The 27,719-nt window shown below is 44.4% G+C and overlaps 1 protein-coding gene and 1 long non-coding RNA gene across 11 annotated transcripts in view, besides 1 other annotated feature; one reads left to right on the top strand and one right to left on the bottom strand.

Annotated features, from left to right (window-relative positions):
• TENM4 (teneurin transmembrane protein 4) overlaps window positions 1–27,719 on the top strand; it is a 788,202-nt gene that overhangs the window by 717,601 nt on the left and 42,882 nt on the right. For 7 of the 10 annotated variants that reach the window (XM_047426736.1, XM_017017525.2, NM_001098816.3 and 4 more), the window contains 5 exons: window positions 513–762; window positions 3,040–3,060; window positions 10,716–10,948; window positions 14,915–15,069; window positions 21,027–21,904. In XM_047426736.1, the coding sequence (XP_047282692.1) occupies window positions 513–762; window positions 3,040–3,060; window positions 10,716–10,948; window positions 14,915–15,069; window positions 21,027–21,904 (1,537 nt within the window). The remainder of the gene's footprint in view (window positions 1–512; window positions 763–3,039; window positions 3,061–10,715; window positions 10,949–14,914; window positions 15,070–21,026; window positions 21,905–27,719) is intronic. The other 3 variants (XM_047426739.1, XM_047426737.1, XM_047426741.1) reach the window with 1 other exon arrangement.
• On the bottom strand, window positions 1,138–9,670 carry LOC124902724 (uncharacterized). The gene is made up of 3 exons (XR_007062800.1): window positions 9,241–9,670; window positions 7,378–7,631; window positions 1,138–1,229 (listed from the first exon to the last, which is right to left on the bottom strand). It is a non-coding gene; the product is annotated as an uncharacterized LOC124902724 (long non-coding RNA).
• Window positions 7,102–8,301: an enhancer, noted in NCBI's record as "P300/CBP strongly-dependent group 1 enhancer chr11:78426174-78427373 (GRCh37/hg19 assembly coordinates)". NCBI's record gives its function as "activates an origin of replication core promoter dependent on BRD2, BRD4, P300/CBP, MED14 and CDK7 cofactors, with strong dependence on P300/CBP, by STARR-seq in HCT116 cells {active_cell/tissue: HCT116}" and the evidence as "EXISTENCE:reporter gene assay evidence [ECO:0000049][PMID:35650434]".

Raw genomic sequence — 27,719 nt, 5'->3', positions numbered from 1 at the left:
TGTGTCAAGCTCTGCGCTAAGCACTGGGGATACAGAAAGGAAAAAGACATAGTCTCCACACTTGAAATGGTATCAATTGAAAGAGAAAAACAAGTAAGTATGATAAATAATTCATGCTGTCATAGAGCTATGGACTGGGTACATGAGATATGGACAACCTACCTGAGAGGCAGTGTAGGTGAATGGCTAAGCGCCCAGACTCTGGAGCTCTTCCACTTATCTTCTGTGTGACTTTGGGTAAGGTCGGTTAAGTTACCTGGACAGTCCCCTGTTACAGTAGGGATAATAATAGTGTCTATCTTACAGAGCTATGGAGTGAATTAAATCTGTATGACTTGTTTAGGACAATCTGGGTTCCATTGGGGGGGTGAGGCAAAGCCTTGGGCTATGATCCTGGAAATGGTTGATGGAGATCTTGCATGCCTTGCAAAATCAGGTGACTCTGTGGTCAACCACAGGAAAAGATACCCATTTCCTGCTCCACAGGCAATTCTGTTCTTTCCTTGTCCCAGGCATCCTGCACAAAGGGAATGGGGAGAACCAGTTTGTGTCTCAGCAGCCTCCTGTCATTGGGAGCATCATGGGCAATGGGCGCCGGAGAAGCATCTCCTGCCCCAGCTGCAACGGCCTTGCTGACGGCAACAAGCTCCTGGCCCCAGTGGCCCTCACCTGTGGCTCTGACGGGAGCCTCTATGTGGGTGATTTCAACTACATTAGAAGGATCTTCCCCTCTGGAAATGTCACCAACATCCTAGAGCTGAGGTATGTAAGGTGATGCTTTCTTCATAGTTCCTAATAATATGCCTTTGCCATCCTTTGGGCCCCGCCACATTACCTGCTGAGCCCAGGGAAGTGGGATAGGACAGAGCCTTGCCCGTCAGGCTCTGAGACTTTTCACCTCCCAGCTCAAGCAGGTGCTGCTTCCCCAGTGCACTACAGTGAAGACAAGCTACCCAGGACAGGGAGATGTCCCTGGCATCCAGAGTACATCTGTGACATAGAAGGCTGCTAGCAGCCAAAAATTAGACTCCTTGGAAGCCACTGAATCTTCTTTCTGTTTCCTGGAAGTAAACTGATTAGAATGAGTCACATGAACCTTTTTTATAAAAACAAGGGGCTGGGTGCCATTGCTCATACCTGTAATCCTAGCACCTTGGAAGACCAAAGCAGAAGGATCACTTGAGGCCAGGCGTTTGAGATCAGCTTGTGCAACCTGATGAGACCCCCATCTGCAAAAAAATAATTTAAAAAATTAGCTGGGTGTGGTGGCACCTGCCTGTAGTCCTAGCTACTCAGGAGGTTCAGGCAGGAGGATCCCTTGAGCCCAAGGGCAGTTCCCTTCAACTGACCAATATCGAGAAAACTGACCTCTCTGCTCCTCAGGTGCTGCAGAAGCAGCTGAGTCAGCCTCTTTCCCCATCCTGACCCTGAGTGATGGAGCACAGCCACGCTTAGAGCTCCGGGAAGGACCTGATATGTTGGATTTTTCTCTATGCCTCCCTAACCTAGATCATTTTAGAACCAGGGCACTGTCATAGGGTGGGCTTAGGGGTCATGGAAGAGCTGTGCTTTAGAGATAAGGGAGCCTCACACTCCCTTTCAAGAGGAATTGCGCCAAGCTCCCTCCCAACTCCTTTAGGGAATGGAATCTGCCTGTCTTCTGGGCCAGGGTGCATGTGAGCAGGACAGGCCCTAGAGCTGGAAAGCCTTCCTCCACAGTGGGCAGGGGAAAAGAAAACTCACTTTTGCTGGGTTCCTACTATTTGCCAAGCATAACAATTCCGTAAGGTGTTTATTATTATTCCCCTTTGGTAAATGAAAAGATGGAGGCTTAGGGAATTTAAAGAACCTGCCTGAGGTCCAGCTTCTAGAATGGTGGACCCGAATCCAGAGATCATTACACACCTCTGCCTCGCCAAAGCCTTGTCACCTGGCCCAATGAGAGCCACTTCGACTTAATGCCTTGTTAAGTTCCTCCCTGGAGGTAAGATCCTACTGCAAGAATCTCACTCTAAGGCGCACGCGTGAAAGGAAGGCAGGGCCAACAGCCATAAGCCCTAAAGAGAAGAGTTAGTATTGGCCCCACACACAGGGCCAGACAAGCACACACGCGGTAGGTTCATAGGAAATCAGATATCGGCTGAATGAGAAGAGGACCACCAGGGGAATATTCTCTGCCCTTCTGCTGTCTATTATGAGTCTGACTGGCACAGACATCTGTCAAGGAAGAAGGATTCTTTGAGCGTATTTGTGTCAGTCAACTGCATATATGGACCACAACAGAAAGCACCATGGACGAGGAAATCAGCTCGCCTCGGCAGAGAAGCTGTGCAACTTTGGACTAATCACTGAACCTCCCTGGACCTCCGTTTTCACCTCTTTCCAATAAGAGACCCCATTTTCCCTGCCTCCCTCCCACAGTTGTTGGGGAGATCATGACAGTGGGTGAAGAAGGGAGATATAAGTGAAATTTGAAAAAAATAAATTTAGAAGTATATTATCATTTTGATATATTTTTTCTTCCAGTCTTTTTTTCCTAGGCCTGTTTCTGTGTCATACCCTCCCTTCTAATTATAGTCTATCTCCAATTCTGTATTCTATTGTGAGGAGGCTCCTGGGAAGTGACCCAAATTTGGGTAACTCTTTGTAGGGAAGTGTGCATGTGGAGACACAGGGCAGTAAGCATGTGTATCTCTGGGTATGTGTCTGTACAGAGGAGAGAATCCACTATTCCAATCTCTGTCTTAGCCCTTGTTAAAGCAGCAGAATGTGTCAACCTAGTCCTCTTCCCCCAAAGTCAGCAGTAGTGGTGCAGGTGAAACCATGCCTCTTCTGTGATATGTAGCTGCTTGTAAGTGAACTTACTGACAAGTAATATCCAATATAAAATACATCAGTGTCACAGCTGCTAAGTCTTTATTTATTACAGTATTGTATAGTACCATTGCTGTCAAGTTTTCAGGCTGCTAATAATGCTTCTAACCCTGCTGCTAACACCTCATTCTTTCTTCTATTCCCTGCTCTCCTGTCTTCTGTCAGAAATAAAGATTTCAGACATAGGTAAGCCAACCAGTGGAGAATTTCCTGCCTCACCCCTGCCTTGTTGCATGCTGTATGGTAAGCTGCACATGTCAATTTCAAATGGCTGTATGGCAAAAGAATCCTGTGTGATTGGAACTGATTGGGGTAATCAGTTGCAATGGGAGGAAGTCATTAATAATGGCAAGAATGGGTGGCAGGAGCCTGAACTCCTTGGATCTGTTGCAAAGTGAGGCAGTTACTTTGATAGTCTGAAAGTAATATGGGAAAGAATTTGAACCTTGGAATAGTAATTTGAATGCTACAGCCTGCTTATCCTTAGAATAAATGAGGATGTCATCCTAACTGCATTGAACGACTTTGATAGTCATGATAGGAAGTCCTGAGAACATCTTGATCAGGTGAACAATCTGGAAGAAGACAGATTTCACATTTACACTTCTGTGGGCATTCAAGGTGCCTCAGCTTGGGGATGCCAGGCAACCCCACCCAAAAGGCTTGCCATCAGTGAGAAAGCAGGCTCCAGGAACCAACTGCAGAGATCAATCCCCAAATAGGAACTTTGTCCCAGAGTAGGTTTGTCATGTAGACTCACAGCGACATGCAGTAAACAGAAATGGGTCTAGTCAGGCACACCAAGAGAAGTGTCTGCCTGTCAGCATCACCTGTCACTATGGCATTCACCTGACTCCTGGATAGCAGTCACCTCAGAGTCCCCTGACCTCACACACATTGTGGTGACTTGGAAAGTAACCATGGGCAGATAGAGCTGCAGCTTGCATGGCCACAGAAGTGGCTCTCAGTTATCCACCTGCAGCTCAGATCAAAGTGGCATGAGGGTGGTGCTAAGTTGGGATGAAAGAAAGTCTTAGGGGTGGTGGAAAGAGTCAGACAGACCCAGAATCCAGTAATGATTCTATCTCTTTCAATTGAAGTAGCTTCATTATTCATGTAATAATTGTATGTGTTATTTTAAGATAATATATTTATAAGTAGTAAATATAATTATTTAATAATTCACATGTATAGAACATTTACTATGTAGCAGATAGAGGGTTATGTCCTTTACATGGACTATAGCGTTCTATCGCCAAACCACTCTGTGAAGCAGATATCCATGATTACATCAGTAGACAGATGAGAAAACTGAAGCTCCCCAATTATGTGGCCTTGAAAAAATTCCTTCATCTCTCTAAGCTTTAGTTTCTAACATAAGGTTAATAAAATCTCCCTTGGAGTCTTGTTGTAATGATCACAGAAGATATTTGTAAACTATTCAGTACTTTTAGGCACAGGGAGGAGCTCCAGAAATAGTAGTAGTAGTAATAATAATGATAACATCCTATAGAGTTAACAGTATTATAATTTATTATCATAACAATTATTATTATATGATAATTATGATGTCTCCATCTTCCCCAAAAAGGAATTAAATCCTCTTACACCCAAAGGCACATGTATTAAAGTAAATCAAAGAGAAATTGGTAACAAAAAAGGAGGAAACATATATGTGATTATTTATTGATTAAGCTCTGAGCTTCCTGGCAGCCAGTGTAAATAAGAAAACATAATTATTTTCATACTTTATGGCATCAGAAATTGAAAACATGCCCATTTCTCAGAAGAGAACATTTTTTTCCTGACACTGAAATCTGAGATTTTCAATGAGATTTGTATGGATGATACTGAACTATGTAATGACCCATGCCTTCAACTTCAGTTGTACAGAAAACACAGAAGTACATTTCACATGCAGGTCTTGGATTAAAGCCTAGCATTTAATGTTGAAACATTCAGTTAGTGGTGGCGGCTGCAAAGGACACAGCCATGACCCAGGGGGACATAGCTGGGAAGAGTCAGAAGGCCAGGTGCTGTCCAGCCCTGCTGCACATTCACCATATGGCCTTGGGCTGGTTACCTGGCGTTTCTGGTTTCCAGTCTCATGTATAAACTGAAAGAGTTTGTGGTTTGGGAACATTTTGTTTCTGATGTTCAGTGATCTTTTTATATATTCATGGTATGACTTTAAACCCTTCGTCAATTAATTGTTTTCTTCGGTACTAAAAACTTTCTAAGATGAACCAAAGTAGAAAGGAAAAAATGAATCACTTTCTGCCTTGCAGTTTTCTAAAGACAACCAGAAGACAGAGAGCCTGGGTTCAGCTCTGATATTAACTGCCACCTGGATATTGGCAAATCTCTTCCTCTCTCTGGGCTTCAGTGTCCCCATCAGTAAATGTTGGAGATGGATTTTAAAAATTATAGAGTTGTATCTCTTCCTCCATTAACTGTCCCAGCCACTCCCAGTAATATGTCTGGCCCCATGACTGGCAACTGTAGGCTGTGTGTGTGCTTCCCCGGAGCAGACTCATGTCTGCCTTTTGCTTTTCCAGCCTCAGTGCCAGCCTGCTGTGTCGGGCATGCTCAGTACAGAAACCCATAATCCATGGGGCATCTTCCTCTACAGACTCCTTCAGGAAATAAGCATCTTTGCCTCGTCCCAGAGCTCTTCCCCAGGGTCATGGAAGATGTTTGAAGCCTTTTCTTCAGAAGTACATTTGAACTCCAGTGTCCATCAAACCCAGATACACATATTATATTAACTCAGAGCCCTTAATTGTCCCGGGAAATAGGTTGAGCAGGACAAAATAAAGTCTGACATACTTAGTGTTTCCACTGTGCACCAAATCTTCTAGTAGTTTCTAAAGGAACCAGCTTTGCTTAAAAGCTGCCATTTATTGGGTATTTTATTTTTTAGTGGAACAGGCACTATGCTCAGAGGTTTATATTCTTCATGCAATTTTGTCCTCAAAATAATCCTTTGAAATAGGTGTGACTATCCCCATTTCTCAGCTTCAGAAAACTGAGGCTATAGAAGTGATGTGACCAGGGTCACTTAGCCAAGTGGATGGTAGAACTGGTATTTGAACCCTTGACTGTGTGGCTCCAACACTCAACCTCTTCCCACTGGTTCTGAGAACCAGGGAATCAAATTCTGCCAGGGCTGCCAACTGCTGTCATTGAAGGACACTCCTTTGCATGAGGCAGACCTTACTTAGAGACAAAGAGAATTCTCACTCACAAGGAAGTGAGCCTGTATGTCCCTACAGACTCCTAGGTTCCCAGCTCCTACTGGGAAATTCCAAACACCATCCAGAATGAGGGCAGAGTGAAGCTTGGCTTCAGCTCATTAACTTCAGGAATGGTACCCTGAAGGCCTCTTGATTTTACATCACTTCCAGAGAAACTAAGGTTATGTTTGAGGAACTGGAAGAGAATGTGGGTCCTTAGAGACTTCTACAGCAAACTGAAAATGAAGCTGTGATCTTACTCTGTGTCCAGCCCTGCTCAGGATACTGGGCATCAGAATTGAATCAGAATCAGACATGGTCCGTTTCCAGGAAATGCTCCCTGTCCACACAGCCAGGCCTGAGGCCTCCACTGAAGGCCGTCTTCCGTCTCATGCTCTGAGACATTTATGATTTGTAGAGTATTCTAAGGCCTTGCTGCTCAAAATACAGACAAGCAACACTGGCCTGCTCTGGGGATTGTTAGAAATGTGGACTCTCAAGTTCCCCGCCCCAGAGCTACAGAATTGAAATGTGCATTTTAGCAAGGGCTCCAGGTGGCACATTAAAGTTGAAAAAGAACTGCTCGAAGGCCATGGTTCCCAAATCTGGCTGTGCCTCCAAGTCACTTGGAGAGATCTCAAAGGTATAGATGCCCACACCCTTCAATCATTATGGGTAGGGCTATTTTTAAATCTCTCCAGGCCATTCTGATGTGTAGCCATGTTTGAGAACCATCACTCTAAGATTGTTAGCAGTGAGCGTTTCCTATGTATACTCCAGCCAGGGAGGCTGATTCAGCAGAACTTTCTGGAGTACTTATTCTGCATCAGCCCAGTTCAAAGCCGCAGAGACTGGTAATCAGTCCCTCCTCTTGAGGAGTTCAAGGTTTCATCCAAAAGACAGACAATTAAACAGAAAAGTTTAATTGGTGCTACAGATACTAAAAGTATAAACTTTGTAAGCTCTAGTGGAGACACAATGAAGGAAGAGGCCAGTTCTACCAGTGGGGAAGAAGAGGGGGTTCAGGAATGGGATTACAGATAAGCTGAACCTCAGAAGATGAGCAGGTACTCCCAGGTGAATATGGGCAGAGGAACCTTTTAGATCCTGGGCAGCAGGGTGGGGAAGTAGAAAGAACACAGACTTTGGAGTCAAGCAGAACTCGGTTGGAATTTCATCCTGCCACTTAGGAATCTGTGGTCCCAGTCAAGTCACTTCACCTCTTCCAGTCTCAGTTTTCTGAAATATAAGGGAGGAAAGTACCTACCTTATATGGTAGTTGTGAAGAAAATGAGGTCATGTGTGCATCAAGTGCTAGCGCAGTGTCTGGGACAGAATGGGCATCCCTAGGTGGTCACAGATGCATTCTTATCAGTGGTAGTCATCTCTGCAGCTCTGTTCTGCAGACAGGTGGCGCTGCAGCCTGGTGGAGTCTAGATGGGCATCATAGATGCAGCTGCAGCTCCCAGGGCCAGGTGGCAGGAGGACGAAATGAGCTGAATGTTCAGAGAGCTCTGCAAACTAGAAAGGGCTGTTGAGATGTATAATTTCATTTGATCCCAACGACAAGCCTGTGAGCCTAGCCGAGCAGGGACTTAGTCATTCGACAGCTAAGGGACCTACGATTTGAACTATTTAGGTGACTCACCTAAATGAGAGCCTACACCTTCTAAGCTCAAAGCTAGTTGTTGTTTTCCCTATGCTTAACTTACCAGCAGACCTCAGATTTGTCCTTGGGCTGAAAGATGCAGCCACAGCTCTTACGGACTCTGGGATAATCCTGCCAATGCCACCCTGTCCTGGAATTGACTGATCTGAGAAACTCCACATGAGTGACACTTCTCTGGAGCAGTGCAGGGAGACAGGAGCTGGAAACTCAGGGGGCTAATCTAAGTGGACAGGGCCCCCTCACCATACCCCCTCAGGGACCCTTTTCTGCCGAGGTAAATAGCACCAGTTTATCATGAGTGATGTGCAAAGAAATGAAAAAAATCACCCCGCCTCAGAGCTGTCATCAGAAAAGCAGAAAGATCAAGGCTGCCCCAGGATTACACAGTAGGATCTAAGGTCACCGCCTTTTATGTAGCCAGAATTGATGTCATCTGGGAAGCTTAAATCTGTGCTACATTATAGGGTAAGTCTCAGGGGACATTTCAAAATAGACAGGATACCTGTCCTGTTTACTGCTAACCCCAGAAGAGAAGTAAAAGAAGAGCTAAATAATGCGAATGCAAACACTACCTAAGTAATCTAAAAATAGACATGCCATCTACTTAAAACAAGTGGCTGCCATGGGCTAGAAGGCACGAAGCAGAACATTGGAAAAACAAAAACGAACAAAATCCAGTCTCTTCCCTTCAAGTATTGACGATTGGGTTTTGGAGGCACACACATAAATGAACAGTCACAGCATTATGTCCTATCGTCCAGCAATGAATGGATGCAAATCTCCATGCACGGGGAGAAGGCTGGGGAAGGTTTGCAGAGGAGGGAGCATTTGAACTGACAGGTGAAGGGTGAGTAGGAAAGGGAGGGGCGGGGCACACTGCAGAGCAGGAGCAGCAGGTGCAGGCAGACTTGAGGCATGCTGCAGGGACAGGTCTGTGGCCAGGTGTAGGGAGGATGGGAGGGGAGGGAGGATGGGAGGGTGGAGCAGCACAGCAGAAAGCTGGGATTTGTGCAGGGGCAGGGAGCTCATACCTTCTCTGTAAGAATTAAGGAATCCTTGAAGGGAAAGCATTGAAATGGCAGGTTGGTATTTGGGTTAGATCAAGAATGGCTTGAAGAGGACCCAGGCTACAGGCGGAGAGACCTCCCCTTGGTTCGAGAAGGATTAAAGAGGAAGGACAGTTGGAGAAAATCATATCAGGTTAGTTGAATTCAGGGAGAGAAAACCAAAGAAGGAAAGCATTGGATCTGGATGCCTGGCCCCTTTCGAGGTAGCCAGTCCCCAAGGACACTGTCCAAGGCAAGAGACATTTATAATGACAAACCTGCCAGGGCCAGATTAAGACCTTCAGTGACTTACATACTGAAAAGATTATGGTGCCCCAGCCTTCATAGGGAATTCAAAAAACACAAATCTGTAAAATAAAATTTTGCTTTTCAAAAGGACCCCAAACTTACATACCTGATAAATGCAAAATAGCTTCTTTCTAGACTTTTCAAATTCTCTTGCTTTCATCTTGAAGGGGGTCTGCAGTGCTCTGGCCCTGCTGGTGCTCTCATCACTGCTCAGTCTGTCCCGAGTCTCTTAGCACAGTTTATGCCTCACTGTGCAATGAAAATGGCCAGCACCAGACCATCCGGTCCAAACAGAGCTTCCTTTGAATCAAAATACCTTCCGGAGACTTGGAAGGGGCTGCCAATATTGAGATGCAGTTTTAGGGCCCGGCAAATGTTCAGACCATGCACAGGAACTTAAAATTAGCTTCTCAGAAGCACCAAGTTCAACTCCGATGTGCCCTAGACTTGAAAGAAATTGTATGTCAGTACCAGGGGGTAAAAAAATTCAGTCTTAATAAGAGATATCTACTACGTAGTCATCTCCAAGTGCAAGAAGAGACACAATCATTGGTAATTAAAATAATAATTATTATTGAGCATCTACTACACTATGCTACTTTGCATTTTTTATTTTATCTCTGGTTTCCCCAATATACTAGCAAGGTAGCTGTTAACACCCCTATTTTGCACATAAGGACTATTCGAGGCTCAGGAGGTCGGGTAACTTGCCCAAGTTTCAGAACCAGGAAATTACGGAGCTAGACTTGGAACCCAGACTGTTCTGATTGCAAATCCTGTGCCGTTTCCTCACCCTGTGGCTAGAGGCAGTGCTTTGTCTCCCCAAGGCATCTCTGCAGTCAAGCTTCTCTCTCTGTTGGCACAGCCTGATCTTTATAACTGTTTTCCAGAAACAGAACCATCATTAGCACTGCTCTTCTGTGTTGCTTATTTTTTTTCCTTGGGTTTCACTGCAAATTACAAACTAATCCTGCAGTTCACTTATATCTGACTGCCAGAGGGAGACTCCTGGGCTCCTGATAAGTGTAACATGAGTATCCACTGAAGACGGTGTTGATGCTGCTGACCGGGAGTCAGAGCCAGCCAGGGTTTCATCCATCAGTCCCAAGATGGAGATGAGGGACTGCTGTAAAGATCCTGTGGAAAAGGGCTTGTGTTTTTGAACTCTTGAAGTGTTTTTTTAAAGTCAAGAGCATCCATCCTTCTAGCTTGAATGAACGGGACACCAGTGGTAGGCCTCAGTGATCATCTTCTTAAGAAAACGTGTATTTAGCACCTGATACAAACATGGCACTGAGCTGGTCATCTTAATCATTTCATCTTGAAGGGGTTTTTGCAAGAATAGTGCAAGGGGTTCTTGCAAGAATTGCAAGGGGTTTTTGCAAGAATAGTGGGTGGGAAGGATAGTTAAGCCAATGACTGAGGTCAGAAAAATTGGGGAACCATCACCCAAAATAGGGGCATCATCCCCATAAGATATTTTTGCTTGGATTCTAAAGGGCCAGGGGTTCATCTGTACATCTCCAGCTACTCATAGGAAGAAGAAAATGCTCACCAGTTGGCCATGTCTTTGTTTTCTAGTCACAGTCCAGCACACAAATACTACCTGGCCACAGACCCCATGAGTGGGGCCGTCTTCCTTTCTGACAGCAACAGCCGGCGGGTCTTTAAAATCAAGTCCACTGTGGTGGTGAAGGACCTTGTCAAGAACTCTGAGGTGGTTGCGGGGACAGGTGACCAGTGCCTCCCCTTTGATGACACTCGCTGCGGGGATGGTGGGAAGGCCACAGAAGCCACACTCACCAATCCCAGGGGTAAGGCCTTGCCTTAGAGACATTGTCAATAACATTTATTGGGGTATTTTCCTTTTCAGAAAAACATGCATGATTAATATTGCAAAAATTTTTGGAAAATACCAAGAAATATATGGAGGATGGTAAAAACTGTGATAATTCCACCTGCCAGAAATACTCCCAGTTAACATTTCCTGTCTTCTCTCCTAGTCTTTTTTCAAAGTGTTTGTGTGTATGTAGTGTTTACTAAAAACAAACAAAATGAGATCACATTAAGCAAACTGCTTTTTTTCCCTAAATGCTAGATCATTAACATTTCTCCATGTCATTAAATTGTTTCTGTGTACTCATTTTTAATGACTATATAGTTTTCCAGCAAATGGATGTCCCAGTCCTCTACTATTGGACATATATGCTGTCTCTCATGTTATTGTTACACAAAAACATTTTAGTGTATCGTGTTTTCATATGTTCATATGCTATCGGGTGGGTTAACTGTAGGTCTCAATTCTGAGTCCCTCAAAAAGTTGAACCTCTAAATGCCCACAATCACAATTTGTTATTCGCTTATTCAGCAAATATTCAAGTACATAGAGTGGTTGCATAGATAAGTTTGTTGCAGCAGAATAAATAAGACTTGAGTGTGAATCACTGTGACATGGGTGAGAGGAAGAGGTGCTCTCTGAGAGGCAAGAAGAAAGAGCTGTTCATGGGGGTTTAGAGCCAAGAGAGACCCCTGTGCCTTGGAGACTGGGAAAGCTTTTTGGAGAAGCCATCATTATCCACACTCAGTGGAGTGTTCACTGTGTTGCAACCCTATAGCCAGTGATTTACAGTGTCTCAGCCCCAGGATCCTCACTGATAGAATGGGGGTAATAATGCCATCCGTGTCTACCTCCTAGGTTTATTCTGATGGTCAAAATTAATATGTTTAATAATAACCTGTAGAAACATTCTAAGTGATTGTATTATTAAATAATCCCAGATTTCAGGGCCTAGTTTCAAATCAAAGCAGGAGATTCTAGTGAAATCAGGCATTCAAATTCAGACTTTGTCATCTACAGCTGAGTGACTTTGGGCAAATCATTGAAGTTCTCTGAGCCTCATTTTCCTTATCTGTGTAATAGGGATATGCTGCACAGTTGTGGTACAGATTGAATATTAGGAATGTAAATGCTTAGCGCAGTAGTACCCCGCACATGGTAAACATCCCATAAACGATGATTCCTATTATTGTTGTTCTATTATATCACATCACATCATATCAAGTCACATTGTCTCTACCACATACCTGGAGTGTCAGGTGGTAGTTGTGTGGGGTAAATATTGTATCAACAAAGGCTAATCCCGCCTAATTATGATTTTCAAATACTGAGAGAGTAGCCAGGAGTGGAAAGAACACTAGGCTTGCACTTAGAAGTCCTATATGGTTTTCCTCTGCTACTGGCTGGCCCTGGGACCTCCTCCTCTGGGCCTCAGTTTCCCCATTGGTCAATTAATGAACAGGTTGGGCTAAATAATCCCCAAGACCCTTTGCAGCCACAACATTCTACTCTCTTAGGTTTAAAACAGTTTTTTCTAAGAATTTTTATTCCCTCCAGGGCTTTTCAGTTGTTCTCCACACATGTGTGTTCTCTTCCCCGCCCTCGTGGCCCCCCACCCTCACACAGATGAAGCGGCAGTGCATTTACCCAAAAGCCTATGATTAACCCACATAGAAATGACAAGGGTGCCACGATATGCAGGCACTTTGCAGCAGGGAGGAGAAAAGATGTCCGTCTATTTAACACAACAAAAGGAGAAAAATTAGGTAATTAATCAGGGGACAGATCACTTCTATTAGCCTGTGCAGCCAACTCTGTAAACAAGAAACCCAACTATTCATGGAGCACTCATCAGTCCAAACAGATGGAAGAGAAAGATGGGGCATAGCTAGGCAGACAAGAAAACGCCTGTCTTGGCACTTACAGAATGAAATTAATGTACATTCACGACAGGACCATGAGAAAGGCTTCCCAGCCTTGAGGCTGCCTGGTCCTCTGTGTGAAATCACTCTCCAGCCTGACCAGCCTAAGAAGGAACAGTTGGTGCTCCAGCAGGTTCTCAGCACTCAGAGGCCCCTGGGCATCTTAAAGCACCCTGCTGGCCAGTGAGAGACACGTGGGTCCCCGGAGCAAAGGCCTTGAAACTCACAAAGTGCCAGCCACTTTCTCATTTTTACAATGGTCATTAATAATTATTGAGGGCTAGTTACTACAAGTCAGATGTTAGAATCCCTGTTTTATCAATGAGGAAATGAAGACTTCAAAGTGAAGTAATATGCCCAAGTTAATACGACCAGAAAATTTTATAATTCAAGTCTCTCCACCTTGGTGAAGGCTTCCTGACCCTTCTTCCACTGCCTTCCCCAGAGAAAACATAGTGAAACAAAAGTGACCAGAATCTCCTGTATTTTACCATGACCCTCTTGAGTCTGTCCTTTCTTGTGCTGCTCACATGGTACTGATTCATTCCTGTGCCTTTCCATCTAAACTGGGTGCTGCCCAGGGCCATGTCTCATCTGTATCCCACGACAGTTCATGGTTATGTCTGATTCTTGCGATTCTGAACCTGGGATGGAAATTACTATCACCCATGTACACTATTAAAGCACCCTGTTCCTGGTCCTAGCCACCCGCTGAATTCGTATTTCCAGGAGTTAGGCCAGCAGGTGTATATTGAAAAACCTCTTCAGGTGCCTGTGATGCACATCACAGGCTGAGAGGTACTGATACAGTGGAGTGGTTCTCAGACTCTGGTTTGTGTCATTATCACCCAAGGTGCTTGTCAAAAATGCAGATAGTAGCTCAGACTCCACTTGAGATATTTTGAAGCAGCTACCTGGGGGGTGCAGTTTAGCAAACTCCCCAGGGGATTCCCATACACATCCAAGAGTGAGAAATACAGATTTGGAGCAATCTCATTGTTTGACAGCTGGGAAGACAAACACAGAGATGCTCAGTGACTTGCCCGAGGTCACACAAGTTGGGTCAGGGAGAAAGTTAACAGGGTGAGACAGTCTAGTGAATGGAGCAGGTGATGTTGAGTAATGATTCTGACTCCTCTCCTCAGTGTGCTGCCTTTAGAAATTCAATTCAACAATATTCTCTACACAAATCCATAGGATTCTATTCAGATTCCGTAGTTTTGTAATGATCAGTGAGACTAAAATAATAAGAATAGAAAAGCATGAAGGACGGGCCGGGCATGGTGGCTCACGCCTGTAATCCTAGCACTTTGGGAGGCCAAGGCGGGTGGATCACCTGAGGTCAGTAGTTCAAGACCAACATGGTGAAATCTCATCTCTACTAAAAAAAAAAAAAAAAAAATTAGCCAGGCATGGTGGCGCATGCCTGTGGTCCCAGCTAACTGGGAGGCTAAGGCAGAAGAATTGCTTGAACCTGGGAGGCAGAGGTTGCAGTGAGCCGAGATCGCGCCACTGCACTACAGCCTGGGTGACAGAACGAGACTCTTTTTTTAAAAAAAAAAAAAAAGAAAGAAAAAGAAAGAAAAGAAAAATGGTTACCAAAAAGGGGAACTAATTATTATAATTACAGAGCTTCAGAAATAGGTGAATTTAAATAATTCACAGTGTTAATATTGAAAAAGATCCTCCTTACCACTGTATCTCTAGTGCTTAAAAACCCCCAGAAGTTATGAATCCAGGTTTAGTGGATGGCTAAGGGGATAGATTAAAATCTCAGGAGGCAGCAAGGTGGGAGGACCAGAGCCCTGGAAGATCTGAAAAAGTTCTAATCCCTGCTTTGAACAAGTCACTCAAGGCCTCTGAGCCTGAGACTCCTCCTCTTTGAGAGAGGAATGAAGGTTGTGGGAGGCTCAAACCCAATCATGTAGAGGAGGTGCTCTGTCAGTTAGCAAGGCTCCAGGAATGTGCGGGTCATTGTCATCTCTGATGCTGAGTTCCTGTTTTGGCTTCTCTGCCCCCAGGCATTACAGTGGACAAGTTTGGGCTGATCTACTTCGTGGATGGCACCATGATCAGACGCATCGATCAGAATGGGATCATCTCCACCCTGCTCGGCTCTAATGATCTCACATCAGCCCGGCCACTCAGCTGTGATTCTGTCATGGATATTTCCCAGGTAAGATGGCTTCATCTACCAAAGCCCTGGGACTGCCCACTCATCCTCTCATCTGCCACCCAGCCAGCCTGCTGGCCATTCATCTTTGCACTGATAAGCCTTTAAAGAGCACCTACTTGGTGCCAGGCTGTGATGAGCACCAAGGACACAAAGACAAGTAAGATACAGCCATGTCCTGGGAGTTCACCATCAGGAGTAACAAGTGGAAGCCCAGGGGACAGTGAAGAAATCTCCCTAAGGAAACCTCAGCAGCAGCAGAGTAGGATAGACAGAGCTTTACACCACGTGACATTAAATCCATTGCCACCTGAACTTCCTCTTTGGTAACACTGATGGGTATTTGTACATTGCCTGTTCTCTTTCTAAGCTATGTGAGGACAGAAATGCTGTCAGTAACCAGGGTGCCTGGCTACCCAAATTTGGGCACAGTCTATACTTGCTGATTGATTAATCGATTGATTGAATCCTAGCTTTTGCCACTCACTCACTCAGTAACTTTCTTTTGAGCCTCACTTTTTATATCTGTGAAATGGAAATAATTCACATCGGCCCAGTAGGATTACCCTGAAGATACATGAAACAATGCATCCACGACTCCTAGCATTGCTTGGCCCTTCAGAGGTGATGAATGAACAAAAGTTAGAGTGCCTGCTTTCACACAAGAGGTGACATTTATGCAAGTTTTACAGGTTGAATAGAATAGGGGTTTGCTGAGTGGCAAGAAAGAAAAGGAGACATTTCACACAAAGGAAACAGCATGTGCAAAGGCACAAAGATGTTAATGAGGCTGGTACACTCAAAGAATAGTGGAAAATTGAAAACCATAGCATAGGGTGCTTGGAAGCAGGTGGCCGCAGTTAAAACAAGAAGCATGGTTTGGGTCCAGGAAGGGACGGACCCTGTTGTACCATGCCAAAGAGTTTGCACATTTGCAGGTGGATACCAGGAACCCATTATAGGTCAAAAAGAGACACAAGTGACTGGCTATCCAGCATGTCCTTAGTACATCCTGTGATGACTTGGCAAGGGTATGTCCTTTGTTGCTGGATCCTTTGGCTGGGCCAGGCCCATGCTGAATCAGTGGCCTGTGCTGAATCTTGCCAACATTACCAAAACCTGGGAAATCAGGAGCATTGAGTTACATCAAATTGCAAATTGATTTCAGCTCCAGCAACATTTAGCTTTTTAAACCCCTTCATTTTTAGGGGAGCCTGCACACACAGGCCCTTTTCCACTGACTGTGTCACCTGCTTCCAGCCTTTCTGGTCATGCCTACCTCTGTTACTGACATGTATCGCTAAGTCCTTCCACAGAGCCTTGTGGATGCTGCTGGAGGTCCCAGCACTCATGTCACCTCCCCATCGCATGCTGGGATGGTTTCCCTCTGCACCAGCTAATGTGATTATTACACTCCAGAGTGGATGCTGTTCTCTGCCACTCGTCTTTGCAGTTTTGGCAGGCTTACCCTTGCTGGCTAGTGAGTTTCCCTCTCCAGTCTGTGAGCAAGCTTGAATTACCCGTCAGGAAGCCATGGCCTAAGGATGTGCATACAAGTATTTTCAATTCTCAAAATGGGCCCTCAACCAGCCAGCACAGGGTGCCGAAAATTTTCAGTCCACACATCGGAAAATTGTTTAACTTTAGATAGAGGTACTGCCAAGCAGCCGGATCAAAGGCTTGGAAGACAACTGGCATATGGCGGAGGGGGAAAAAAATGCTAAAACCCACACTTAGATTCAGAAATCCTGGACTGAAATCTCTAAAGGCCCTCACTACCTTTGTCTGAATGTCAGCATGGGATTTTCTTTAACCAAACTCTCCAATACTGGCATCTATTTTACAGACACATTTGCGCAGGTGTCACTGGCTTTCATTCTCAGAGCTTCCTCTCTACTCCGCTGCCCCATGGGGAGCAGGGAGGTAAGCAAGGGAGAGCACACAGCTCAGAGGCATGAGTGAGAAGGCGAGAGCCAAGGAACTTGGACCAGCTCCTTTGGGAGGAGACAAACCCAGGCCCAAAAAGAAACTAAAGAGAGAGGCACAGAGCAGAGAAGGAACAGAAGGAAGTTGTTGCAACCTGTTAAGAAGTGGAGATGGCCACCACCGACAGAGAATAACTCTATGCTTAGGATCCAAAATAAGAACTTAGTATGGGCCAGGCGCTCTGTTAGAAATGGGGGTACAGAATAAGTACAACTTCTCTTTTCTTACTTAGCTATCACAATAGTCTCATAGGGTAGAGCTGATCTACCCCCATTTTATAGATAAGAATACTGAGGTGTGATGAATGCAAATGCATTTATAAATGTAGAGCCCTGTACCAGGTTCCATCAGAGATATGGAAATGAATTTTTTAATGAAATTATGTACACAAATTGTCTAGTACAGTGCCCAGCAGCTAGTAATAGGATGTGAATACTAGTTCCCTTTAAAATCCACAAAAAACTTCCTTGTACATTGTCTCATTTAAGCTTTACAACTACCCTATGTAATATGTGTTATCCCCTTTTAGATATAGAGAAAGATGTTCAGTGTTTAAGAAACTTGAGGTAGGTGACACATGTAGCAATTGTGGAACTGGAATAGGAAGTGAGGTGTCCTGACCCCAATCTCTCACTCCCTCTATGCCATTTGCTGGTCCTTCCTTCCTTCGTTCATTCATTTGACAATCCATTTTTGCAAGAAAATCACTCTGCAACAAGGCAGCCAGCTCCAAGTGCTTTAATAAAGGCACAGAATGTTCCGGTGGACAGGGAAGAGGGTCCCATTCCACACTGGAACCATAGAACGTGGGAGCTGCAAGACCTCTGAAATTATCAAGTCTAGTCCATTCATTTTGGGGATGGGAAATCAAGTCTCAGCACGATCATCGCTAATAGGGTGGTGAAACCAGAGAGGCTGAGGTAGTTGGTCTGGTGCAGGATCATCACACGGGCAGTGTGACAGAGTGAGGACTGACTCCAAGAGCAATGCCCCTTCTCCTTTCCCAGGCACCTCTGTGCACATGGCATAAGGGGAAAGTGTAGGAAAGCACTTGCTCTACATTCCTTCCTCTCTTTCCTCTCCTCTCTCCCTCCACTGACTCTGTCTCCCCCTAGTCTTCCCATCAAGGAACGATCTTTTCATCATAACGACAGGCAGAAAGGTCTCCACAAGCAGGTCCCCAAGGTGCCACAGGACCAGAAGGCATAAAATATTTAGCGGCCAGAGTTGACAAGAAGTGGGTTTTAAGAAATTGAAAATTCCCCTGTCACTTTAGAGCAAACTGTGTTCCTGATGCAGCCAAAAGCTGCCACGACACTGCCCAGAGAGCGAGGGGAGTGTGAAGCAGCAGCACTGGCCGGCAGCGGCCCTGGCGAGTTTGCAGGCTCCCTGGCTCTGCAGGGACAGAGGGAGCTGGGAGTAAGGGGACAAGAAGACTTTAGAAAGCAGGACCGGAAGATCATGCTCTAAAGAACTGAGAAAGGGCCTGCCCCCTCCTGAGAATGTCCCTGAGCTGCAGGGACAGATGGAGGTGGCCTCACTCGTGTGTATATAATGTATTGGGGTTTCTTTTTACATTGGTAAACTACCACATGTACATTGTAGAAAATATAAGAAGTTAGAAATCACAAAGAAGGAAATTAAAATCACCTTTAATCTTACTATGGTTAACATTTTGATATATATGCCATCCCTCAAGCACTTAATCTCCTCTTTATCTATAATCTAGCTAAACTTCTTATATTTTTCCCCAATTGGTATCCCACTGTGCTTACAGTTCTGTAACCTGTTCTTTCTACTTAATACATAGCAAACATTTCTCCATGTCATTAAATATCCATCTATAACATCACTTTTAACAACTACACACAGTATTCCAATTTATGAGCAAACTAAATGTACTATTATTTAGCCAGTTCTCAGTTGTTGGGCATTTGAGTTGGTTCTCGGTCTTTGTCATTATTAAAAATGGCTTCATCATTATTAAAAACACTCTTATAGACGATGGTATACAAAAGTAAATTCCTGGAAGAAAAACTTCTTATCTAAAAGCATACACTTAGGCCAAACACAGTGGCTTACACCTGTAATCCCTGTACTTCGGAAGGCCACGGTAGGCAAATTGCTTGAGCCCAGGAGTTTGATACCAGCCTGGGTAATATAGCAAAGCCCTGTCTCTACAAATATATATATATATATATATATATATATATATATAGACACACATACATACACATAGACATACACGTGTATATATATATATAGACACACACACATACATATGTATATGTATGTATATATTTATATATATATGTGTGTGTGTGTGTGTGTGTGTGTGTGTGTATATATATATGTGTGTGTGTGTGTGTGTGGTGGCACATGCCTGTAGTACCAGCTACTCAGGAGGCTGAGGTGGGAGGATCGCTTTAGCCTGGAAGGTGGAGGCTGCAGTGAGTCAAGATTGTACCACTTCACTCCAGCCCGGGTGACAGAGTGAGACCCAGTCATACACATACATACATACATAAGTAAATTAAAATAAAGGTATACACTTGCTTAAGCGCACCCCAGATTGGACCAAATATCAAGGGTTTGTAGGGGGCTCAGGAAGTCTAAGGCAGTGAATTTTTAGGTGGGGTGGAAAAATCAGCAGTAGGGTGCACCTGTCGGCACTTCCAGCCCACACAAAACATGGCTGGACCTCCTAGAGACACAGGTGGCAAAGGGTTCCCCTTAGTGCCAATACCTCCTAGTGTGATAGATCCAACAATCCAGCCTTCAAGTCCACTGAAGAAAACACTCCTCCCCTCAGACCATGCCAGCTACAATCCCCTGGGTGCCCACTTGAAGACTCACCATGACCTATGCCAGTTTCCCAGCCTGGCTCAGAGGAGGTTCCACATGGGGCCCAGCACTTCTGAACTCCTAGTTCCTACAACCAGCTTCAGTAATCCTTTCCAGGTGGACCTGTTCTCTGAGGTACTAGAACCACTGTCTGGAGCAGGGCTTCATAAACCTTAGTGTGCACAGAAATCGCCTGGGGATTTTGCTTAAGTGCAGATACTGATTCAGTAGGTTTGGAGGAGGCCTGTCATTCTGCGTTTATGCTCAGCTCCTAGGTGAGCTGATGCTGATGACCACACATAAGGAGCAAGGATCCAGTCATGATTCTCAAGCCCACATCAGGATCACTCAGGAAGCTTTTCAAAATAATGCCGATGCCCAAGCTCCAAGCCCAGGGATCTGATTTCACCCACCAAGGGTGGGGTTTTCCCACCATTATTTTCTAAAATCGCCACAGATAATTTGAATGTGAGGCCAGATTTGAGAATCACTGGTCTAGAACTATGACAGACAGAGGCCATGGTTAGCTTGTCTTTATGTCTCTAGCAGCTAGCCAGCTGTTAATCCATGAACTCAAAGAATTGAGAAATCATACATGTATCATATCAACCATGTATGAAGAATCTTTCTTAAGCCTCTGAACAACTCCTACTTCAGCCTCCAGACTCCATCTGCCTTTCCCTCCCATCTTAGAACATCAGCTGCCATTATTTGGTGGGTTATGGTGGGTCAGGGACTCTGTGCTCTTGTCATTCCCATTTCCCATATGTGACTATTGAAGCTCAGAGAGGCAAAGTAACTTGCCCACAGTCATAAGTAGTGGACTATGCTCTGAACTCAGGCCTATTTGACTCCAAAGTCTACCCTTTTGCCTACTATTTTGTTGTTGTTAACTCCTTCTTCATGTTTTGTCAGTCTAATGAGACCATCACATGTCTCAGTGGCAGCTCTTTCATGGTTTCCCGGTGATCAGGGGGCTGACGCTTCATTGTTGATGATAGGCTGCATGAGGATCAAGCAAGACTGTATATGAAGCCACTTTGGACACTGTTATGGGCTACATGGGCTATGGGATGGATTAGTGGTGGGCATCTTGCCAGTCATTTGAGTATCGGTGTCTTCATTGTCAGGTTCACCTGGAGTGGCCCACAGACTTAGCCATCAACCCAATGGACAACTCACTTTATGTCCTCGACAACAATGTGGTCCTGCAAATCTCTGAAAACCACCAGGTGCGCATTGTCGCCGGGAGGCCCATGCACTGCCAGGTCCCTGGCATTGACCACTTCCTGCTAAGCAAGGTGGCCATCCACGCAACCCTGGAGTCAGCCACCGCTTTGGCTGTTTCACACAATGGGGTCCTGTATATTGCTGAGACTGATGAGAAAAAGATCAACCGCATCAGGCAGGTCACCACTAGTGGAGAGATCTCACTCGTTGCTGGGGCCCCCAGTGGCTGTGACTGTAAAAATGATGCCAACTGTGATTGTTTTTCTGGAGACGATGGTTATGCCAAGGATGCAAAGTTAAATACCCCATCTTCCTTGGCTGTGTGTGCTGATGGGGAGCTCTACGTGGCCGACCTTGGGAACATCCGAATTCGGTTTATCCGGAAGAACAAGCCTTTCCTCAACACCCAGAACATGTATGAGCTGTCTTCACCAATTGACCAGGAGCTCTATCTGTTTGATACCACCGGCAAGCACCTGTACACCCAAAGCCTGCCCACAGGAGACTACCTGTACAACTTCACCTACACTGGGGACGGCGACATCACACTCATCACAGACAACAATGGCAACATGGTAAATGTCCGCCGAGACTCTACTGGGATGCCCCTCTGGCTGGTGGTCCCAGATGGCCAGGTGTACTGGGTGACCATGGGCACCAACAGTGCACTCAAGAGTGTGACCACACAAGGACACGAGTTGGCCATGATGACATACCATGGCAATTCCGGCCTTCTGGCAACCAAAAGCAATGAAAACGGATGGACAACATTTTATGAGTAAGTACTAAAACAAGGCCATTTGATGATTTTGTTTCATTAATTCATTGTAGGATTGGAGGTAAATTGATCGAGTATTTTATTTTAATTCAGGATTTGGGATAAAAACTATTACTTATAATACATTCTACATGTTCATATTCCACATGATTTCTCCTAGGAAGGAAATGGTCTAGTGGAGAAGGCATAAGCTTTGGAGTCAGAGGAGCTGGGCATCAGTTCCCACTCTACCATGGACTTAATCCCTATTGGCCTCAGTTTCCACATCTGTAGAATGGATACAGTGGATACCTGCCCAGCATACCACAGGGAGATGGTGTAGATGAAAAGTACTTACCTGATGAAGTGCTAGCATCTTCATATGACCACTGTCCACAAATGTGGCAAGGGGAGAAGGAACAGGCACATGTGGATGAATTTTCCACATAATTGAAGCTCTTGTCTTCAAATTCCAAAAAAAAACCCTTTTCATTTTAACCATTTTGCATGGGACTTTTCTTATGAAGTGTATTGCATACCTCCCTTCTCAAACACACTACACAGACATAATGAAACCTTTCTTTTTCTGATTCAGGGTCATTAATAAGGAACAACAATTGCATATTACGCTGTAATATGAAGAGAGCTTTCAGGAAGTAGGGAAATGAGGATATAGAGCCCTTTGCCCCTGCCTGAAGTGATTTTAAACCATTACTTTATTAGGCCCTGTATCTAAAGGGTAGGTTTCTCTGCCTCCTCCCTCAGGGTTGTGCTGTGGTGTCACTATTTATTTCAGTCCTAGTGCCCACCTCAAGTAGCTCATTTCTTTATTCTTCATCCAGTGGAGGACTTCTTAAGAGGTGTGATCAGAGAACCAGAAGTTCAGCTTATTATAATCCTAGCAACAATTAAATATATATATCTGGGGTGTTCCTCTAAGAGATATTTAATGAATGGACTAACATCGCTCTTTCTACTTAGATTTTTTTAAGCTGCTTTTTGAGGTCTTAGCCATGGTTCACACGACTGAGATTGCTGAATATGTCACCATTAGATAAGCATGTGAGAGGTGGGGAAGGAACTAGCCTTGTTGAGTATTAGCTGTGGGCTAGGAGCTACACCACTGCATTTAATCTGCACAACAGCTCTGAGGATGGGTGATATTATCCATTTTACAGACATAGAAACTGAGGCTCTGAAGGCTCCTTTGCCCACTGTTTGATAGTGAGACATGGCAGAACAGGGATCGCAGTCCAAGTCTGATGCCAGAGCTTGGGCTTTCTCAGTGCTGCCCTGCTGCCCTCCCTGCATCCTACCCCCGCACCAGTGCCACACTGAGTTTGTTAATTCCAAATGAACCTGACTCTTTAAAGTTTTTCTCAAGCTTGATCAAGCATCAGTTTCTAACAGTCCTAGGAGAATCCAAAGGAAAAGGATCTGTAGTTGATTTTTAAATATAATTTGAACAGACATGTCACAGCGATTTGTACAAAGTTCACTGGCTAAATTCCTTTCTCCAAACAAGGACCTTGTTAATTACAAAGAAAAGACAAAGATCCAGGAAAACAGCAATTATCTTGATTAACTCATTGGAATGGAAATACGCTAAATAATTCCATTTTGCCCATTGCCCGATGGAAATCTCTTATACATTATTTAGCCAATACAGGGGTTTCTTTGTCAGAGCAAGTCTGTGCACTCAATTAGTTCCCAAAGTCACTCCCTCAGATCCCAAACCGAATGCTCACACATCACTGCATCCATTACGCTCCACCACCCCTGAAATCTAAAACGGTTTCCTACACTTCTACCAGGAAAGATCCCTCCCTTTCTTTCCTTGATGAAATATACAGCTATAGTTGATGTTTAGTGAAGAAGGAAAAGTTTTTACAATTGCTTTTTTATAAAATGGCGTCTGGAATTCCAAAGACTGCACTTCATAGCGGTACCCAAGAGTGGTTATCCTTGTTAACACAAACCAGAAGTGGTAGATAAAAGTCCTAAAATAGAAAGGGAAACTAGTTTGTTTTTGTTTTTGTTTTTGTTTTCTGAGATCCTACTATGTGCCAGGCTCTTTCCCATTTAATCTTCACAGCAACCTCAGATGGCAGGAATTATCATCCACATTTTTTACATATGAAGTACAGAGAGATTAGATAACAAGCCTGAAACCACACAGTGAGTATGTAGCAGAACCAGAACACAAGTCCCTGTTCTTTCAACTGCACTGGCTAGGGTCACCTACATTCTTTGTGACTTATCTGTACGATAGGGATGACAATAGTTATGTATTTCATAGGAATAGTATGAGGTTCAAAATTTCAGTGAGATAAAATATGGAAAGCTCAGTGTCTGATTGATTATAAGTACTCAAATGATAGCTGCTGCAGTTGTTGTTGTTGTTGTTGTTGTTGTTAATGCAAGCAATATTAGTGGCAGTACCAGTAATTGCAGAAGTGTTGTTTGGGTGTGAAAGGTATTTCCCAGGAGCAACTGCAAGTAAACTAATCAAAAGAGTAGACAAAAGTTTTAATTGAGGTAGGTAGGAATCAGAGGTCAGGTGAGAAGAGCAGAATCAAATATGAGAGATCAAGAAATGAACTAAGAAAGAAGTCAGATCCCTGAGAATATCCAAAGTCGGCTGGAAAATAACACGCAGAGCCACCCAAGGCAAAATGGTCCAGCTCAGGCTGAGAATGAAGCAAGGGTGCCAGACACCTATTTTCACTGGCTGCGAGCCATGTGACTCAGGGACAGGCTAGCTGGCCTCCAGACCCAAGTCTCAACCAGACAGAAATAATCCCCTGCCCTACCCCATTTCTGGGCTATTATGAGGACTAAAAAACTAAATAAATACTGAAAGTAAAAAAACTTTGCAAACTATGAGGCTGTCTAGAATTAGAGGTGTACAGATATTTCATTATGGTGTTTCTTAACAAGGATTTGGACAGATTTTGCCAATGAACCATTAATCTAGTGAATTTTCTACCTTTAGCTTCATGAGGCAGTTTAGTAGATTATAACCGAAATGTTCTATTTTTCTAAAAAAAAAAATTGCCCAGGCTTGCCTGTGACATAGGCTATTATTGAAACAAGCTGTTTGTTTATTTGTTTGTTTGTTTGGTTGGTTGGTTGGTTGGTTTGGTTCGGTTTGGTTTTTGAAATGGAGTCTCGCTCTGTTGCCCAGGCTGGAGTGCAATGGTGCGATCTCGGCTCACTGCAACCTCCACAGTTCTCCTGCCTCAGCCTCCTGAATAGCTGGGATTACAGGCATCTGCCACGACGCCCGGCTAATTTTTGTATTTTTAGTAAAGATGGGGTTTCACTATATTGGCCAGGCTGGTCTCAAACTCCTGACCTCAAGTGATCCGCCCACCTAGGCCTCCCAAAGTGCTGGGATTACAGGCATGAGCCACCGCACCCGGCCTGAAACAAGTTTTAAGTCAGCTTTGCCAATTCTCTTAAAAGATTAAATAGTACACCTAACATAAACATCACACACTTCAGAGCACCTTGATTTACAGAGTTCACAGTTTTGGAGAATCAAGGTTACTTTCCTCCCCTCAGCCCACAGGTCTGCTGGTAGGAAGCTCAAAGGAGTCTGAAATGCAGTCCCCACCTCCCATGTGTGGCATCGTTACTCTCAGACTTAGCTCCTGGTCAGATGGCATTTGGTGGCTGAGAAAATGGCCTCATAAGTATGAGGCAGGTTCCAGAATTGACTTGCTGGATGGATATGAGCAACCCCCTTCCCTGAATTTCATAGGGGAAGGGGCTCTGGCCTCCCACAGTGCCCTGTGACAACTCCTATTATAATTATGCTCACCTTAACTACTGTGAGACCCTTACAAATTTGTCTTTGCGTCAAGCTTAGGGTTTGCCAACTAGTCGGCTGACAGATAGTCAATATTTTATAATGACACGTAAATTCAGAATGGAAGGGAAATAGAGACAGGAAGAAAAGATATGCTGTAGTGAGAAGAATGCTAGATTCACGTCTGAGCACCAGCACTGCCAGTGCTCCCAACGGGACATAGAACTCAACTGAAATGGGTCAAATGAAGAGATTTGGCCTCTGGTTTTTACTTGGGGATAGGAAAGCTGGAAAGTGCATCATGCCCAACCTTATCATGAAAATAAGCCAGACAAAAGGTAAATTCGTGCGTTTCCTTGAACTCCTTCTCTGAGGTCAAATCCAAGGAGAGACAGAGTCTTGCAGAAAGAGACAAGATGTGGGCCCTGCACCACATCTTGCTGCTTGTGGGCAGATGCACCAGCTCCGGGGAGAAAGAGTTCAGCTGGGATGGCTGGTGAATTTACAAAGGCTAAGTGTGTACTGGCAAGAGAGTCTGAAGCCCTTGGAGGCTGTAGCAATTGGGCAGGTCCATGTCTTCTTAGGGACTTTTTTCTCTACAAATCCCACCAGGAGTTTTCCCACAGAAAAGAGTGAGGAAAGATTTAAGAAGAAAGTGTCCTTTGTGGTCGACCTGGGGGAAGGTCACAGCAGCTGCTGAGGGAGGAGCATACACCCCTGACCACTCTACCCAGACCCTGCTCACCTCATCTTCCATCAGGAACAACACCCTTCATCTGTGAAGAGAAGGGCAGCGAACACTGTCCTGCCTAGGCACTGGGGAAAATCCTTTCAGCTGAATGAGGGAAGAAAAGAAATGGAAAAAAAAAAATCCCACATACCTGAGAGTCAGAACCCTAGCAAAGGCTTTGCCACCACCATAGTTAGCTGGAAGGCTAAAAGCATCAGTGAAGGGCAGAAGACTGCTGGGAGGGAGTTAGAGAACGGCAGGAACATGGAAAGAGACCCTCTCTGAGTCAGCACAAAGGGAGGACCCAAGGGCTGAACTGTGGACCTTGAGGGAAAAAAACCCTCTGGCAAACCAGTTTCACATCCTAAACACAGGGAATTGCTAAGGGAATTTAAAACCTATGATACCTAGAGGCTAACCATAAACAGACTTCAAATCCTAGGTTAACCCAAACCCCCTCACAAAAGTCCTAGCACAAGGAAACTCACACCCATTTCCAGGCATAAACCTATCACTCACTCAGGCTCTACCATGCTACACAAGATGTCACGCTTTCAACTGAACGTACAAAAGGGCAAGAAAAGGCAACACATTCCCGAGAGGCAAAGAAATCATCAGAATCACGTTCAGGTATGACACAGGTGTTGAAACTATCTGTCAGAGAATTTAAAATAACTATAATTATTTTAAAGGCTCTAATGGAAAAGGCGAACAATGTGCAAGATCAGATGGATAATTTTAGCAGAGAGACAGAAACGATAAGAAAGAATCAAATGGAATTGTTAGAAATGAAAACCACGGTTATAAGGATGAGAAATGCCTTTGATGGGCTGCTCTCTCTGGAGGACACAGCATGACACAGCTGAGGAAAGAAGATGGTTAATAGAAATTACCCAAACTAAAATACAGAGAGGAAAAAAAAGAGTGGAAAATGCAGAACATGGCATTCAAGATCTGTGGGACAACATCCAATAGTCTGATATACATGTAATTGGAATTCCAGGAGAAGAGGGAAAAAATAGGGCAGAAGAAATATTTGAGGAAATAATGGCAGAGAATTACCCATAATTAATAATGGACACCAAACCACAGATCCAAAAAGCTCAGAAAACACCAAGCAGAATAAGTACATACACACACACACACACACATTTCTAGCCATATATTCAAATGGCTGAATTAAAAAGGAGAGACAGAAAACCTTAAAAGCAGCCAGGAAAAAAAAAAAAAGCATTTTATAAGAGGAACAAAGGTAAGAATTACAGCAGACTTCTCATCAGAAACTGTGCAAG

This window comes from Homo sapiens, chromosome 11 (assembly GCF_000001405.40).
Source record: "Homo sapiens chromosome 11, GRCh38.p14 Primary Assembly".
Classification (NCBI taxonomy): domain Eukaryota; kingdom Metazoa; phylum Chordata; class Mammalia; order Primates; family Hominidae; genus Homo; species Homo sapiens.
The sequence above is the reverse complement of the archived record's forward strand: the minus strand, read 5'-3'. Positions and strand labels throughout refer to the sequence as shown.